This window comes from Homo sapiens, chromosome 17 (assembly GCF_000001405.40).
Source record: "Homo sapiens chromosome 17, GRCh38.p14 Primary Assembly".
Lineage (NCBI taxonomy): Eukaryota > Metazoa > Chordata > Mammalia > Primates > Hominidae > Homo > Homo sapiens.
In genome coordinates, this window is record NC_000017.11 from 40,553,708 (window position 1) to 40,570,933 (window position 17,226).

A 17,226-nucleotide genomic window follows, 5' to 3' on the forward strand; every position below is an offset into this window, starting at 1 on the left:
GAGGAGGGGAGAGGGGACGGTCAGGTGGGGTGTGGGGGATTGCAAAACAAAGACACGCTCATTTGCCATTTACCAAAGACTTTTTTTTTCTTTTTCTTTTAAAGCTGTTGTTTCCTCAAGGGAAAACTTTATCTGTGTGTGGGTAAAATGTTGCTCTCTTAACGAATCGAAAGCAGAACATGAGGAGAGGTTTTCAGTCCCTGTGACAAAGAACAAAGAACAAGCTCGTGGGCCTTGGGCGGCCACTGTCACCCTCCCCGCCCCTGACATTTCCCTTGTCCTCTCCTCCCATCCCAGTGGAGCCAAGAGCTGAGTGCATGTCATCCCCACTCTGGAGCCCAGAGTGTGGCTTTGATCACGCGGAGGCAGCTGGCCTGGCCTGCAGGAAACACCACACTCTCCCCTGTTGAGAGCCTGGGAGGGCGACGCGGCAAGTGAGGGGATGAGTGTGCTTTTAGGGCGGCGTGGCAGCTGCCATTCCCGCTGGCTTGGAGGACAGTGAAGAAAACGATGGAGGGAGGGGTTCAGAGAGTTTGTTTGACCAGCTGATGTCCGCTTTTCCTCACCAAGCCAAGAAGTCTCCCCACTATCTCTGGTCTTGGAGATAAGGCCTGGTTTTCGGAAGAGCTGGTCTGAGCATTTGAGTCTGTGGGAGGCCAGAAGGTTCATTCAGAGGACTCTTCAGGCCACTCCCACGCCCCTTGCACTCACCCTCCTTGGCCCCTTCACTCCAGCAGGTGGGAACAGTTTCTGGACTTTCACTTTCAGTTTTTGGTTTAGGGGACAATAGCCTCTGTTTCCCAGTGTTGTCTGTCTGGTGTTAGCTTATCAGCCCTGTCTTTTTTTGGCATTGGTTGAGGTAGCTGGGATTGGGGTGAAGCTATCTTCTGGAGCAGGGGCTTGCACTCTGAGGGGAGAGCTGCTTTTCCCTGAGCAGCTTTTGGCGGGGGGATGTCCTGAGTCATTGCATCTGCTCCCTATCCCCACCCCAGGGACCCTGGGAGAGGTCCCTCTAGTCCAGGCAGAAGAGTCGCCTATGGGGAGAAGGTGGTGGTGGTCTCGGCCTCCACACTCATGGAGGAGCGCCGGATGTGCCGACAGGAAGACCACTGCCGGAGCTGCTCCTGGCTGAGGCAGCCCAGGTCCTTGAAGAGCTTGAAGAGATCGTTGCGGAACTTGACGCCGATGAAGGCGTACAAGAAAGGGTTGACGCAGCAGCGGACGCAGGCCAGGCTGTAGGTGACGTCGTAGGCGATGTTGAGTTGCTTACTGAGCTCACAGGTGCTACTGGTGATGTTGAAGTTGGCCACCGTCTGGGCCAGGACCACCCCATTGTAGGGCAGCTGGAAGACTATGAAGACCACGACCACAGCGATGATCACCTTGATGGCCTTGTTGCGCTCAAAGTTGCGTGCCTGGAGCAGGGTGCGGATGATGACAAGGTAACAGAAGCTCATGGCCAGCAGGGGGACCAGAAAGCCGATCACCATCTGGGCCACCTGGATGGTGATAAAGGCCTCCACATGCTCTGTGATGAGAGAGCATCGCATCGCTTGCTCACTGCTGCTCCTCTGGAGGTCACTGTACAGGAGCTCTGGGATGGAGAGCACTGTGGCTAGTATCCAGATGCCCACACAGGACAGCTTGCTGATGAGAAGGACGCGGGCACGGTGGCGGTGAGCTGAGACAGCCTGGACGATGGCCACGTAGCGGTCAATGCTGATGCAAAGAAGTAGGAGCATGCCACTGAAGAAGCTCATCTTGTAGATGGCAAAGATGAGCTTGCAAAAGTGGACACCGAAGACCCAGGACTTGGCCGCGCTGTAGGCCCAGAAGGGAAGGGTCAGGAGGAAGAGGATGTCTGCCACCGCCAGGTTGAGCAGGTAGGTATCGGTCATGGTCTTGAGCCTCTTGAAATAGATATAGGTCAACACGACCAGCCCATTGCCCAGTAGGCCCACGAAACAAATGATGGAGTACATGATAGGGAGGAACCAGGCTTTAAAGTTCCGCACGTCCTTCTTGGAGCACAAAGACTCGAACAAAGTGTAGTCCACTGTGGTGTTGTCTCCGATGTAATCGTCCGTGACCTCATCTTGACACAGGCATACCTTCGGGGAAGGAAATGAGGGAAAACAGGCCAGTTTAGCTGGGTGGCTCCAACTCTGGCTGGGATTTAGCCTAGAGCAGTGGTTTCTTTCTTTTTTTTTTTTCTTGAGACATGGTCTCACTCTGTTGCCCAGGCTGGAGTGCAGTGGTGCAATCATGGCTCCCTGCAGCCTCGGCCTCTCCAGGCTCAGGTGATCCTTCCACTTCAGCCTCCTGAGTAGCTGGGACCACAGCCTTATGCCACCACACCCAGCGAATTTTTGTATTTTTAGTAGAGATGGGATTCTGCCATGTTGCCCAGGCGGGAGGAATAGTGGTTTCATCGTGAGGTCCGCATCATCAGTATCATAGCATCACCTGGGAACTTGTTAGGAATGCAAATTCTCAGGCCCCACCTGAGAATTCTGAACCAGAATCTCAAGTGATGGGTCTAGGAATCTGTGTTTTCCTAAAGTCTCCAGGTGATTCTTTGGTTTTAAATCAGTGCTTCTCAAATTTTAACTCCAATACGCATCACCTGATTAATCCTGTGAACATGTCTATCCTGAATCAGTAGGCTAAGGTGGGGCCTGAGATTCTACAGTTCTGCTAGTAAGTAGCAAGTGGCTGATTTTGCCAAGTCTGAGAGACTCTACATGTGCTGACAGGGGACTGGAAATCAGCTGGGCTCTGGGGCCAGATGAGCCTTGAGCTGGTTAAACTCTTTCTGTCTCTCTCTCTCTCTCTCAGAGCCTCAGTTTTCTCTTCTGTGAAATGGAGATGAATCCTATTTGCTTCCCATGGTTGCTGTGAGGTACCTAGCCCAGGCTCCAGCACCATTTCCTCTCCATGGAGCTTTAATTTTGCCCCCTGGAAGCTCCGTGAGAGAGGGAACATGTGTCTTTCTTCTTGACCCTCCTTTAGAACTTGGTGGAGTTTTCCAGGGGGCTTACAAAAGACCTCAGCTTTAGGGGGAAAATCCACCTGGGGGTCAAGGTTGAGGAGGGCCTGGAGTAAGAAGAGAGGAAGGCAAATGCTCCCATTTTGAGGCCATGAAGCCTTGGGTTTGGGGCAAACTGCTGTGATCATGGGTGGTGGGTGACCTGGAGAGACTCTAGATCCTGGGTCCCCTCTTAGCACCCAGCAGGAGCTCAGGCAACGTGAGCCCAAGTGCCATAAACTCCGTGAATGGATGATGGGCCATGGGGGTGGGGGCGAGGACTCCTCAGCAGCTGTGTCCCTGGAAGGAAGCGCAGCTCTCATCTCCCACTCTCCCTCTGTGCTCCCGCCCTCTCCCCCCACCTCTCTGCCTCTCTCTTCCTCGCATCTCTTCCGGCAGATCCCAATCAGCAGGACTCAGCTGCTGGAGCTTTTTTTAGCCGTCTGCAGGGTCGGGTGAAGGTTCAGCAGCCTGCTGTGATTTTATCAATGAAGGAGGGGGTCCATGCCTGCCCCTGCCTCTGCGCACAGCGATGGACGGGTTTGTGCAGGGCAGGGAGCTGGGCTGGAGGACCTGCCTCACGAGGCTCATGGTTCTATCACCAGGAACCAGATTCAGCAGCTCAGCGACGGTGGGTTTCTATCCATTTATGCTGGAGGGATTCACCGCATCTTGTCTCTATCTCTTTTTCACACCCAGGTTCTGGATTCATCACTGTCCTGCTTGGGAACATGGTGAGGACAAAATGATGTCCAGGAGCCTTTTCTTTGGCCATTGCTAGCCTGAGACGAAAAGTCAGTGGCAACCCCTCTTCCCTTTCCTGGGCATGGCTGCAGCCTGGGAGCCCTGAAGGAGGCTGCTGCCTTTGGCCCAGCCATGGTTACGGCCCAAGGCCTTAGACCCGGGGTCCCTGGACATGAGGGGGTCTCAGCCTTCCTGGAGGGCAGTACTCCCGGCCTCTATGAAGTGCACTCTGCATCATCCAGTCCTGCCTTCCCTTCTCCCCTTGAACCTTGTTCCTGTTTTATAATTCTCCCTCCCCTAGCCTCACTGCCTCTGCAGCCCACAGCCCCACCACATCCTGCCCTATCTGAGCACCCCCTCCCCAAGTGAAAGGGAAGAATGAGCCTCAGCTGTCCTCCTCCCCTTCCCACCCTTCCAGCCTCCACTGCCAGCAATACAGCCCCCCAGAGTCCTGGAGACAGGGGAGAGAGAGGAGGGAGTGGTGATGGGGAAGGGGGCCAGGCTATGGGCTGCAGCCCAGGCTCCGGGGGGCCTCTGGGATGGGGTTTTGGGAACAGTGCCCAGCTTGGGGCCTGCCTCTGGCCTGAGCTTCTGGAAAGCTGCCCCTCTGGCCTCCAGACCTGGGGATGAGCCGAATTCTGAAGCACTGCCTCTCTAGCTCTGGCCTCAGTTGGACTCCCCTACCCCTACTCTGAGCTCCCACCTCTAACAAATGGGAGAAAGTTGACTCTGCGAGTTACAGTTTCTTCTAACTTTGGCACTTGGTGAGGCACACTTTCTGTCTGTTTCTGGATGGAGAAACAGAACTTTGTAAAGTGAGGGTCTTTGTTCCTGCCGAGTTCAGGCCTGCTATAAAGTGTGTGCTCATCCACCCCTCTCCCCATCCCTAGGGCCCCATCCTCTCTTCCCTCCCCTGCCAGGGAGGCCGGATGGGTCTCTATTTCACCAAAGAAAACGGGGGCTGCGAGGGAAGCCTTTGGGTGAAGGTTGGAAAGAGACAACTTTGGGGCGATAGGATAGTAACAAGATCGCCAGATCCAGGGTGATTTTCTCAGCACACGTGCACAAAACCCAGTAACATTTTTTGCTTTTTGCAGCTCTTCTCTCTCTAAGAACTCAGAGTCCATATTTCTGTCTCCTGGGCAGGGAGATTGGAGGTGGGATAGGGAAGGTGGTAAGTTATTTTCCCCCATGTTTTAACCTAAATGGAGTAAAGGAAGTCCAGAGAACATCTGTGGCTCTCCAGGGTCACTCAGCAGATGGTGAGGGGGCAGCCATTAGCTTAATGAGTGGCAGGCGGGCTTATGTCTGGGTCTTGTATCTTCTAGCAAATGCCCAGCTCCTCCACTAAACCCCTGACTTGGGAGGCCGTGTGGAGAAGGGAACAGAGCTTTCCTTGGCAGAGAACCTCACCTGGAAAATGACAAGGAGAGCCACCACCAGCACGCTTTTCATTGGTTTCCCTGTAGGAGACAAGGCGAGAAAGTTATTGCTTGGCAGGGACAAGTCTTTGTTATTAAAGAAAGCAGTGGAGGGGGAGACGCTGTTGGGAACTTTCCTCCCAAGCTCCAGGCACTGTGTTTGCTGAAAGAGAACATCAGAACCAGATTGTGCCTTTGAACACCTGGCCTGCTGCCCGGCATCACTGTCCTCACCTCCTTCTTGTCCTCCTCCACTCCCAGGTCCTGGAAAGAAGCAGCATCAGAATGCAGGGCAGCCCCTCCCACCCCCTGTCTTGGCCCATCTGGGCTGCTTCTTGGAGCTGGGAAGTCTTCTCTAGCCCAGACCACCCCTCAAGACTGAGCTTGGTTGGTGGGTCTGAGTGCCCCCTCCCACTCCACCTGATGTGGGATGAGGCGGCAAAGCTATGAGGTCGTGGGGTAGGTGCACACGTTTCCAGCCCTGCTTTGGTGCTGGTAGCCACTGGCCCAGGAGCATTTTCCTGGCATCCAGGTGAGTGCGCAGCCACACGTGCATGAAGCCAAGCCTGAGTGTCTCCTGAGGGAGGTGGGCTGAGGAAGGAGGATGACCTCACAGGCTGGGTAGAGGGATGAGGTTCCTTACTGGTCCACAGCGATGGAGACTGCCTCAGGGCTCCACCAGCTCCACAACACCCCCTCACTGAAATGACATTCATTCAGCACTGACTGTTGGTCCACTGGGCGCACACCCTTGGCCTGCCTTTGGGACAGAGATCCCTTCCCTTTTATCTTGTGCAGGCCCAGAATTGAGGAGGTGCCCCACAATTGTGTGCTGATGAATATATGAATGATAAATACATGAATGATGAATAAATACATGAATGACAAGTAAACGAATGCCTGTCCTTTTTCCAAGGGAGAGGGCATCAAGATGGCCCGAGAGGACACAGAAGGGATGCTGTCCTGTTGCAGTGTGGGGGAAGGACGCTCTTTCCTGATGTCACGACTTCTTTATTTTTTTGCTTAACTGAAGTGCCTGCACACACTTTCTCTCCTTTAACTTGTTTTCTAACTTAGGCTTGGGGGGCAGGTGAAAGGGGGAACAGGGTCAGCTTTGGGAAGCGACGTGTTCTGGAAGTCAGGAGGCTTCCTGGGGTCTGAGCAGCTGATGGGGACCCCGGTGTAGCACAAGGCCCAGATGTGCTCAGTCTGGTTTTGTGGCTGAGCCTGGGGCCCAGCAGGAACTTATTTCTTCCTGAGGCTGAGCAGGGAGGACAGTTGACAGAGTAATTTGCCTAGATGTTTTAGCTTACCTACAAGTCAGGGCGGCAGTAGCCCTCTTCCCGTATCCTGACCCTCAGGTCCCAGCTAGGTAGGGCCTGGCCCACTGGAGAGTCAGTAACTGCGATGCCACAAGTGAAGGCAGGCCCTTGGCAGCTCCAAGCTCAATAGCGCCAGGAAATGCGTGGGAACCTGTTTAAGGCACCTTCTCCTGGAGGCTGGGGAAGCAGTGAGAGCCCAGCGCTTCCGTGTCCTTGGCCACAGCACCACCTGCTGGAAGCCTCCCTGCATGGCACCCAGGTTGCAGTTGGTTAATGTGTTCCCCGGAAATTGTGTAAAGCCAGGGATTCTGGGCTTGGGAGTTCCTCCGGGAAGGAGAGACTGCATCGGGCTACATAAATAAATAGGTATTTCTCCCGCCTTGAGCAAATAGTCCTGCACACTACTGCTAGACACATCTGCCTAAAGCTTAGCTCTGATGGCAGTCCCCACCTCACCTTCCTCCTAAATCCTCAGGGGCTCTAACCGGCCCTGAGGATGAAGCCCCTGATGCTTGGCCTGGCAGTCCAGTCCTCCGCTGTCCACTCAAAGAGGGCTTCCTAGCTGCATTTTCTATTCTGGGGACAGGCAGCCGCTGTCCCCTCGTTCCCAGCCTGCGCTCGGGCATTTGTAGTCCTGCTGCGATTGGACCCTGTTGCAACAGAGCTCCCCACCGCTCATTCCCCTTTTTCACTGAATTACCCCTTAGCTCCTGAGTTTAAGTCCACGTTTACGCCCAACCACACTCTTCACGGTTCAACGCTCCACCCGCCCTCCACTGACTCATCTAGAGGTCGAGTCTCGAGGTTTCTTTAAAACACGTAAGTGTCTTTCGGTTACTCTAGAGAAAGCCCGCTCTGACTGTCAGGGAGAAATGAGAAACCTCAAAGTTTTGATAAGTCACAACGGGTGAGATCTGAGGAGCAAGAACTGTGTTTCTGTTGAACTCTGTTGATAACCCCTTCTCCCGGACGCTGTCCCACTCCTGCTGTTCCCGTCAGGGGAGGGGAGTTGGGGGAGTGCTGGCGTGTGTGCCTGTGATTTCTCATTCCAGGTGTTTTGGAGGAGGTGGATGAGCAAGGGTCTTGTAGGTCCAAAACAGGTGGCTTTCAAGAAACATCACAGGGAAACTTAGGGGAACTCTTGTATGTGGCAAAAGGGAGCCTGGTCAGTGGCCTTGAGTCAGATCATCCCTGTCTGTTACAAAGTCATAAAGAAACTGGTCTTGGGCAGCAGCTTCAGTGAGACCAATGAAGTTGGGAATCTCTGGGGCTAAGGAGTGGTTGACCTAGATGTTGGGTGTTTTCTGAGTTCTTGAGTTTTCAGTAATGATCATCATGAAAATTCCCTAGAACTCCAACCGGAGCCCCCAACATGAGAGACTGCCCATCCAGGAAAGAAAATTATTGGCTGGCTGCCCCCATCTCCAAACCATGAACTTCCATCCCCACATTTTTCCAGGTCCTCCAGACTGCCCAGGAAATCACAGTTGCCCAATCAGCTCGCCCCAAGAGCGACCCCAAGCTTTTTCCTCTTTGAACTTCCTCACCTGCCAACACAACTTTTCTCTCTCTCTCTTTTTTTTTGGATAAGGGAGGCAGAGGAGAAGCAGGGAGGTGGTGAGAGGTCTAGAGATCTGGGGAATCCACTTTCAGACAGTAGGCAGGGATGGGTGAGAGCCTGGTAGACCTTGCATTTTCTATGTTATCAACTGCTGTATCCAATGAGATAATTCATATTCACTGAGCTCTCACTGCGTGCCACACTGTCTGCATGTATGGTCTCATTTCATCCTCTCAAAAGCCCCATGAGGTAGGCGCTACTATTATCCCCATTTACCAATGAGAAACTGAAACACAGCAAGTAACTTTCTCAGAGTCACACAATGGCCAGCAGGGGAGCAGGCTTTGAAACCCTCCAACTCCAGCAACCACACTCCTAACCATCCTTCTGTGCGGCCACTGGGTCTGTATGTGTCTCTCCCTCATAACATCTCATGAGCTACCCTGGTGATCCTCATCTTAGATTCCAGAAAATAGAGGCCCAGAGAGATTAAGCCAAATGCCTGGGGCCACACAGCTGCTAAGAGAGGGACCTGAGATTTGAACAGGATAGCAAGGTTTGGGCTCTGGCTACTGCATCAGGCTGTGTTTCTGATGAGCCTGCTGCATCTAGGACGCTCCACGGAGCATGAGGGGAATCTTTGCTCCCCATGCCCCACTGGCCACCAGTGCTTCCTGCTTCCATCCCCCAACATCCCGGCCCCCAAAAGAGCCGGCCCCACCTCTGTTCTGACACGGGCTTTGCTGCCTCTTTGCTGCCACAGAACTCCTTCCAAAACACAAATCTCATCCTTTAATTCACCTACTTGAAAAATAAAAATCTTTGATGGGTCCCCATTGTTTTCAGGATAAAGTTCAAATTCCTTAGGGATGCCGTACCACGTTTTAAGGATTGGGTCTCCTGTGCCTGCGTCCTTCCTCCTCATCTTCCTCCTTGGCATGGCCAGCTACTCCACCCTCCCCTCCGCTTGCTTCTTTCTTGTCTCTGTTACTGTTGTCTCAGCTGACCATCTACACGGCTGCAGCCTTAGTCCCCAGGACACTCTGCTTGTCAGCATGGAGTTTTTGAAATAATAGATTTGAATGCCTTTAGGTGGGGCATGCACCCTCTGGGTCACTCTACTCCCCTCCACTTCCTGCACCTTATGCCCATTCCCTCTATTACCTTGTCGGCCTCTGATGGCAATGGAGTTTGCCATTCCTGCCACATCCTGGGCCCATTGCAGCTCCTTGTTGGGCTTGACAACTCCTACACACCCTTGAAAACCCACCTTAAATACCTCTCTGACCCAGGTTCACTATTCCCTTCTTGTCTTGCCCTTGCCCTGGTCAATGCTGTATCTTATTCTGTTGCAGTGGCTTTGTGACATATGTGTCACTCTCCCCACCAGACTGGTCATCCCTGAATCCCTCAAACAATGAGAGTTGCCTGAATGTCCGAAGCAAAGAGGAGAGATTTTTTCCAACAGCGACCCCAGGCTGCAGCGTTCCTCTCCTCCCCAGCCAAGTTTCTGGCAGGCAAGAAACTGGCCCTGAATTAGCTTCAGCATCCCCCTTTGCCACCATTTATGTCCGAGCTGTGAGGCACACATCTCTCATGGGTTCATTTTTTCCTTGCTTTGCTTTTGAGAATTATGAAAGATCTTCGGTCTCATTGCTCGAAGGTGGGGAGGGTGCCTCAGAGCTGCTCATTCAAACCGTGAAAAAGGCCAGCTCAGCCCTGCTTGGGAGTTTTCATTTTGTGTAACAGAAACCCTCCCTCCTCACCCACCTCTTGCTCCTTGCTGGGCAGATGAAGAGCAGAACAACAGATCCTCCAAGGCCCACCCACCCCATCAACGGCCCAGAGAGCCCGTTTTGAGTAAAGCTTGTCAGCGGCTTCCCCTCCTACCAGTATTTCGGGTTTGACCGTTGGGGCTCTCTCAAGTTGAGTGAAGTGGCAAGAATATCCCTTCTTCCTGGACCAGAGATTACCCTCTCTCCCTGCATCAAAGCCTAGGAGTCTAGCACCCCTAAACCTAGTCTGGGGTAAGACACTCTGCACATCTTCCCAACCCCCTGTTCAGTCATGTAGATGGCTTGAAATCAATCAGCCAGGGTGGGAGAATTTACACCATGGAAATTGGCAAGCACTACAAATTCAGGACTTTCCCTCCACCCTGGAGTCAGCTACCAGTGCTCCACCCCGGGGAGCTGCTTTTCAAATGCCCAGTAGCACACCACTGGGCACTGCTTGGTTTCCTTCCTGGAGGCCAGTATGAAAGGCTGGAGCAGGGTCTTCTGTGGGTGACGTCTGTACTGTGGGATTGTGATGGGGGGTGGTGGAGGGGGTGCAGGGGAGTGGGATTTAAGGGTAGATTGGCTGGGAAATGAGGCATTTGGAAGAGATTTTCAAAAACTAAACTCTACGGAGTTCTTGATACGGTGTATTCATTCATTCCGCAGACATTTTCTCCTCACATCCTCAAAGCACCTGAACCTGCCTTTCAGGAGTTCACAGTCAGTGGGTGGGGTGACCACTTTAACCCTTTCACAGCTGTTTGCTGGGTCCAGATCCAGCGTTCAGGGCAGGCGGGAAAGTAAGAGATGAAATCAAGGAGGCTGTGGTGTGGCGAGGAGGGGTGTGAGGACAGCACCAGGGAACCTTCACTTTTTAAAGCCAACCCTTTGCGGCTTTGAGGCCGCCGTGGTGCATTGTTTGCTGGTGAGACAAGCCATCTAGGAACCTGGTCTTCTTAGCCTCAGCCTGGTCTGACTCCACAGCTGAGATTTATAAAGGGGGCGTCTGGAGCTGGATGAACCACTCAGAACACCCTCAGTGCTTCCCCTTGACCCCTTCTAGGTTAGACCTGAGAAAGGGCTTTCTAAAGAGTAGAGTTATCTGCCGGGGCAGAGTGCGTGAGGTTTGCTCAGGGGCAGGGGCTGTGCTGAAGGCCTGGCTATGATTTCTCCAAGCTGAGTGCCCCTTGCCATCCCATTCCATGTTGCCTGCCCGTTCCTTAACTTGCAAGAGGCAACAGCAAAGCCAGATCAAAGCAGGTGGGATGTGCAGCAGAGAGAAAGCAACCAGAGCTTGCATTTGCAATGCACCGCACCATTCTCACAACCCAGTCACGTTTCATTTGCATCTCCTCATGACCCCAAGTGGACAGGTATATGAATATTTGGCAGGGGAGAAAGGTGGGAATCAGAGAGTGGGTAAAAGGTCCTAAGCTCTCTAGGGAGAATTTCTCTGTTGAAACCTGTCCCCAGAGGTCCCAGAGGGCCTAACCTATCACCCTCATGATGAGAACAGGTTCTGCCAGACCACCAAGCCCAGCCCCGCCACTCTCTTATGTCCCTGCTGTTTTAGAAAGACATGATCTCGGCCCCTCCCTTGTCCCCACTGGCACCAAAGGCTGACCCCTTCTCCAGGTCTGAAAGGGCAGGTGCACCCCTCCTGGGACAGCAGGGGGCATTCTCTGGAAGTAGCTTCCAATGCCCACCAAATCAGAACTGATTTCTCCAGGAAGCACCCCTATGCGCTCCACCCGCATCCTCCACCCCCATTCCACAGGGTCAGTCTGGGTGTCCAAGACCCTGGTACTGTTCCTTCTCACATGAAGAGGCTCACTCACCCAGGTCCATGACGCTCTCTGGGCGGTAAAACCACACAGGAAGGCTGTGCCCGGCCTCGCACTACCCCTGTCTGGGGAGGAAGTGGTTCAAGCCCCTTTTAAGTTGTCGGAGAAGCCACCCTCTTCCCTGCCCCTCCCACCCTTGCTCCTCCCCCCAGCCCTCCCTGACTCATGCAGGGCCCCTTCAATGCCTTCAGAGATAAAGGGGCAGAAGAAAGGTGACAGAGGGTGACAGTCGCTGGTCATAGGATCCTGAATCATTAGGTCATTTACATTCAAAAAGCCCCCTGCGCTGCCTGGCAGAATCTAGATGAGGGGCCATTTACTGATTCAACAAATATTTATAGCATGAATATCACATGCCAGGCCATGGGTTAGATGTTGGGGAGTCAGAGATGTGTGAGAGAAGTGTCCCCATCCTTCCCTTGCTCTGCTCAGTGTCACAGTGGAATATAGTCCCAAATGGCTTTCCCTCTGGCTTCTGGGTAGTTTAGGCCAATGGGAGGCACTGACACATAATGACAGGTAAAAGGGAAGAGATATGCCACGATGTATCTTTTTTCTCCCCCCTTCCCCTCCCCTCCCCTCCCTCCCCTTTCCCTCTTCTCCCCTCCCTTCCTTTTCCTTTCTTAATGACAGCTTTATTGAGCTATAATCCACATCCCATAAAATTTACCTTTTTAAAGTATAGAATTCAATGGTTTTTGTATGTTCACAGAGTTATGCAACCATCACCACAATACATTTTAGAACATTTTTTCTCACTCCCTCTCAAGAACCCTGTAATCACTAGCAATGACTGCTCCCCTCCCCTCCTGTCATCGAAAGCCCCTGGCAACCACAAATCTACTTTCTGGCTCTATAGATTTTCCTATTCTGAACATTTCACATAAATAGAAGTATCAATATGTGACCTTCACATCTGGCTTCTTTCAGTTAGTGTTTTCAAGGTTACCTATGTGGTGGTATGGATCCATTCCCCATTCCTTTTTATGGCTGAATAACATTCCATTGTATGGATATGCCACATTTTGTTTGTCTGTCATCAGTTGGATGTTTGGGCTGTTTTCCCTTTTAGCTATTATGAATGATGCTGCTATAAATATTTATGTGCAAGTGTTTGTGTGGACATATGCTTTATTTCTCTTGGGTATATACCTAGAAGTGAAATTGTTGAGTCATATGGTAATTATATATTTAACATTTTGACGAACTATCAAACTGTTTTCCAAAGTGACTACACCATTTTGTTCCCATCAACAATGCGTGAGGGTTCCACATTGTCAACAAAACTTACTATTGTCCATTCTTTTGATTCTAGCCATCCTAGTGGCTGTAAAGTGGTATCTCATTGTGTTTTTTTTCTTTTTTCTTTTTTTTTTTTGGAGATGGAGTCTTACTCTGTTGCACAGGCTGGAGTGCAGTGGCACGATCTTGGCTTACTGCAGTCTCCACCTCCTGGGTTCAAGTGATTCTCCTGCCTCAGCCTCCCAAGTAGCTGGGACTACAGGCACGTGCCACCATGCCTGGCTAATTTTTGTATTTTTAGTAGAAACGGGGTTTCACCATGTTGGCCAAGCTGGTCTCAAACTCCTAACCTAAGGTGATCTGCCAGCCTCGGCCTCCCAAAGTGCTGGGATTGCAGGCATGAGCCACCATGCCCGGCCTCTTTGTAGTTTTGATATGCGTTTTCCTAATGACTACCTATGCTGAGCATCTTTTCATGCTCTTATTGACCATTTGTATTATTTTTTGAGAAATTTCTATTCAAATCCTTTGCCCATTTAAAAAATTGGGTTATTTATTTTTTATTATTGAGTTGTAAGACTTCTTTATATATTCTGGTTACAATCCCTTATCTGATACATATCTGTAAATATTTTCTCCCTTACTATGGATCATCTTTTCACTTTCTTGATAGCGTCCTTTGAAGCACAAAGGCTTTTTGTTTTTTAAAACCTGAATCTCTGGCAAAAGAAGCGCAAAGTTTTAAATGTGGAGGTTCAATTGATTTATTTTTCTTTTGTCAATTGTGTCTTTGGTGCCATATCTAAGAAACCATTGCATAATTCAAGTATACAAAGATTTATTCGTATATGTTCTTTTAAGACTTTTATAGTTTTAGCTGCAACATTTAGATCTGATCCATTTTGAGCTAATTGTTGCATATGGTGTGAGGTAGGGATCCAGCTTCATTTTTTATATGGATATCTAGTTTTCCCAGCATCATTTGTTGAAAAGACTATTTTTTCCACCATTGAACTGTCTTAGCACCTCTGTTGGAAATCAATTCATCATAAATGTAATGGTTTATTTCTAGACTATCAATTCTATTTTATCAATCTCTGTGTCTGTCCTATGACAGTACCACACTGTCTCGATTACTGTAGCTTTATAGCAAATTTTGAAATTGGGAGTTGTGACTGCTCCAACTTTATCTGTCTTTTTAAACATTGTTTGACTAATCTGCATCTCTCTCTTTTCCATATGAATTTTAGGTTATCAATTTCTGCAATGAAACCAGCTGGGATTCTAATAGGAATTTCATTGAATCTGTAAATCAATTTAGGGAGTATTGCCATTCTAACAAAGTCTTTTGGTCCATGAACATGGGATTTTTTTCATTTATTTAGGTCTTCCTTAATTTCTTTATACTTTTTAGGCTGCAAGTCTTTCACTTCTTTGTTAAATTTTTTCTTAAGTATTTTACTCTTTTTGATGTGCTTGTAAATGAAATTGTTTTCTTAATTTTATTTTCAAAGATGGCCAACTAGAAGCAGGTATGGGGCATGGCTCTCTCAGAGAGGAACAAAGGGGTGGGTACTTCAAAACCTTTATCTGAAACATCCAGATACTTGCATTGGGACTGATTAAGGAATCAGCTCGACCCACAGAGGATAGAGGAAAGCAGGGCAGGGCAATGGCCTACATAGGAGCAACACAGACCCAAAGGAAACCCCCTCCCCTCCCCCCACCAGGGAAGTGGTGAGTGAATGTGCAAACCTGGGGAATGATGCTTCTCCCACCGATCTTTGCAACCTTTGGATCGGGAGATCCCCTGTGAACCCACTCCACCAGGCCTTTGGGTCTTACACACAGAGCTGCATTGGATTATTGGCAGAGCAGCTGCTCAGGCATGCACAGACACCCAGGAGCTTTACATACTCAGGCTCCGGAACCCCAGCAAAGGTGACCGCCATTCAGGCAAGGCAGGAGGTCTGTACATACCCCTAGGAAGGAGGCTGAATCCAGGGAGCTGAGCAGCATTGGTCTGTGGGCCTCACTTCCACAGCACCTCACCAGATAAGACCAACTGGCTTGGAATTCCAGCCAGCCACGGGCAACAGTGTAGCACCTACCTGAGACAAGGTGGAGTTCTGGGGGTGGCTGGGGTGGGGGTGAGGGGCACCACCTTTGCTGTTTGGACGACTCAGCTGTTCCAGCCTGTAGACTTTGGAGAGTCCAAACCCACCAGGTGTGGAAAGGATCCCCCAGCACAGCACAGCTGCTCTGCCAAAACGTGGCCAGACTGTTTTTTTAAGCAGGACTCCTATCCATTCCTCCTCACTGGGTGGGTCTTCCCAAACAAGGCCTTCAGCCACCTCTGCCCATTTTCTACAGCCCATAAAATTTTGATCTCTCCCTGGGACAGGGTGCCTGGATGGTGGAGAGGGCTGCCACCTTTGCTGTTTGGGCATCCCAGCCATTCCAGCCTTTCAGCTTTGGGGAGCTCAAACCAACTGGGGGCTGAAAGGATCTCCCAACGTGGCACAGCTGCTTTACCAAAATATGGCCAGACTGCTTCTTTAAGAGGGTCCCTAATCCATTCCTTCTCACTGGGCAGGACCTCCCAACTGTGGCCTCCAGCCACTCCTGTCGATGTTCTCTGGCTGACAGAGATTTGAAGACTTCCTGGGACAGAGCTCCTCGGGGGAGGGGCAGGCTGCCATCTTTGCTGTTTTGGCGACTTAGCCACACCAGTCTCCAGGCTTTGGAGATCCCAAGCCAACTGGGGATGCAAGTGGTGCCCAGCATAGCATAGTTTCTCTTCGGAAGTGTGGTTAGATTGCTTCTTTCAGTGGCTCCCCAATCCTGTTCCTCCTGACTGGGTGAGACCTCCCAAATGGGGTCTCCGGCCATCTCCTACAGGTGTGTTTAGGCCAGCAATAGGTTCATACCTCCCTGGGATGGAGCTCCCAGGGGAAGGGGCAGGTTGCCATTTTTGCTGTTTCACAGCCTTCACTGGTGATACCTCCAGGTACTGGAAAATCCAAAGTGACTAGAGTCTGGAGGGGACCCTCAGCAAGCCACAGCAGCTTTATGGAAAAGTGGCCAGATTGTTAAAAGAAAAACAAAAGAAACCCCAAAACCCCATCCAAAGGTCAGCAACCTCAAAAATCAAAGGTAGATAAGCCCACAAAGATGAGAAAGAATCAGCATAAAAACACTAAAAACTCAAAAAGCCAAAGTGCCTTCTTCCTTCCAAATGACTGCAGCATCTCTCCAGCAAGGGTTTGGAACTGGGGTAAGGCTAAGATCACTGCAATGAAAGAAGTAGACTTCAGAATGTGGATAAAAATGAACGTCGCTGAGCTAAAGAAGCAAGTTGTAACCCAATGCAAGGAAGCTAAAAATCATGATAAAACAATGCAGGAGCTGACAGCCAAAATAGATATTATAGAGAAGAACATAACTGACCTGATCGAGCTGAAAAACACACTACAAGAACTTCACAATGCAATCAGAAGTATTCATAGAAGAATAGGCCAAGTTCTGCTTAGTCTTCCTCTGAAAGATTCTTCCTCTGAAAGAATCTCAGAGCTTGAAGACTGTCTTTATGAAATAATACGGGCAGATAAGAATAGAGAAAAAGAATGATAAGGAATGAATAAAACCTCCAAGAAATATGGGATTATGTAAAGAGACGGAATCTATGACTGATTGGGGTATCTGAAAGAGATGGGGAGAGTGGAAACAATTTGGAAAACATATTTCAGGATATTTTCCAGGAGAACTTCCCCAACCTAGCTAGACAAGCAAACATTCAAATTCAGGAAATGCAGAGAACCCCAGTGAGATACTCCATGAGAAGATCATTCCCAGGACACATGATCATCAGATTCTCCAAGGTAGAAATGAAAGAAAAAATGTTAAGGGCAGCCAGAGAGAAAGGCTAGGTCACCTACAAAGGGAAGCCCATCAGACTAACAGCAGACCTCTCAGTGGAAACCCTACAAGCCAGAGGAGATTGGGGGCCAATATTCAACATTCTTAAAGGAAAGAAATTCCAATACAGAATTTCATATCCAGCCAAACTAAGCTTCATAAGCGAAGGAGAAATAAGATCCTTTCAGGACAAGCAAATGTTGAGGGAATTCATTACCACCAGACCTGCCTTACAAGAACTCCTGAAGGAAGCACTAAATATGGAAAAGAAAAACTGTTATCAGCCACTACAAGAATACACTGAAGTACACAGACCAGTGACACTATGAAGCAACCGCATAAACAAGTCTGCAAAATAACCAGCTAGC

General features: G+C 50.2%; 1 protein-coding gene across 5 annotated transcripts, besides 6 other annotated features; it reads right to left on the minus strand.

The window, feature by feature from the left end:
* Window positions 47-166: an enhancer, noted in NCBI's record as "active region_12151". NCBI's record gives its function as "activates an Ori minimal core promoter by ATAC-STARR-seq in GM12878 lymphoblastoid cells {active_cell/tissue: GM12878}" and the evidence as "EXISTENCE:reporter gene assay evidence [ECO:0000049][PMID:35858748]".
* On the minus strand, window positions 62-11,765 carry CCR7 (C-C motif chemokine receptor 7). Of its 5 annotated transcripts, none has more exons than NM_001838.4 (3): window positions 11,693-11,765; window positions 5,186-5,235; window positions 62-2,111 (listed from the first exon to the last, which is right to left on the minus strand). In NM_001838.4, exons 1-3 carry the CDS (start codon window positions 11,700-11,702, stop codon window positions 1,035-1,037), a joined length of 1,137 nt encoding a protein of 378 aa, NP_001829.1. In that variant the 5' UTR covers window positions 11,703-11,765; the 3' UTR covers window positions 62-1,034. The 5 variants fall into 5 exon arrangements, with proteins under 5 accessions (NP_001829.1, NP_001288646.1, NP_001288645.1 ...); NM_001301717.2 differs by lacking the exon at window positions 11,693-11,765 and adding an exon at window positions 7,216-7,306; NM_001301716.2 differs by lacking the exon at window positions 11,693-11,765 and adding an exon at window positions 6,972-7,306.
* Window positions 6,323-6,840: an enhancer, noted in NCBI's record as "H3K4me1 hESC enhancer chr17:38716282-38716799 (GRCh37/hg19 assembly coordinates)". NCBI's record gives its function as "activates a minimal SCP1, AML or CMV promoter by ChIP-STARR-seq in primed H9 embryonic stem cells {active_cell/tissue: H9 hESC(primed)}" and the evidence as "EXISTENCE:reporter gene assay evidence [ECO:0000049][PMID:30033119]".
* Window positions 6,924-7,033: an enhancer, noted in NCBI's record as "active region_12152". NCBI's record gives its function as "activates an Ori minimal core promoter by ATAC-STARR-seq in GM12878 lymphoblastoid cells {active_cell/tissue: GM12878}" and the evidence as "EXISTENCE:reporter gene assay evidence [ECO:0000049][PMID:35858748]".
* Window positions 7,504-7,593: an enhancer, noted in NCBI's record as "active region_12153". NCBI's record gives its function as "activates an Ori minimal core promoter by ATAC-STARR-seq in GM12878 lymphoblastoid cells {active_cell/tissue: GM12878}" and the evidence as "EXISTENCE:reporter gene assay evidence [ECO:0000049][PMID:35858748]".
* Window positions 7,614-7,693: an enhancer, noted in NCBI's record as "active region_12154". NCBI's record gives its function as "activates an Ori minimal core promoter by ATAC-STARR-seq in GM12878 lymphoblastoid cells {active_cell/tissue: GM12878}" and the evidence as "EXISTENCE:reporter gene assay evidence [ECO:0000049][PMID:35858748]".
* Window positions 10,404-11,320: an enhancer, noted in NCBI's record as "H3K27ac-H3K4me1 hESC enhancer chr17:38720363-38721279 (GRCh37/hg19 assembly coordinates)". NCBI's record gives its function as "activates a minimal SCP1, AML or CMV promoter by ChIP-STARR-seq in primed H9 embryonic stem cells {active_cell/tissue: H9 hESC(primed)}" and the evidence as "EXISTENCE:reporter gene assay evidence [ECO:0000049][PMID:30033119]".
* Window positions 11,766-17,226: the final 5,461 nt, after the last annotated feature.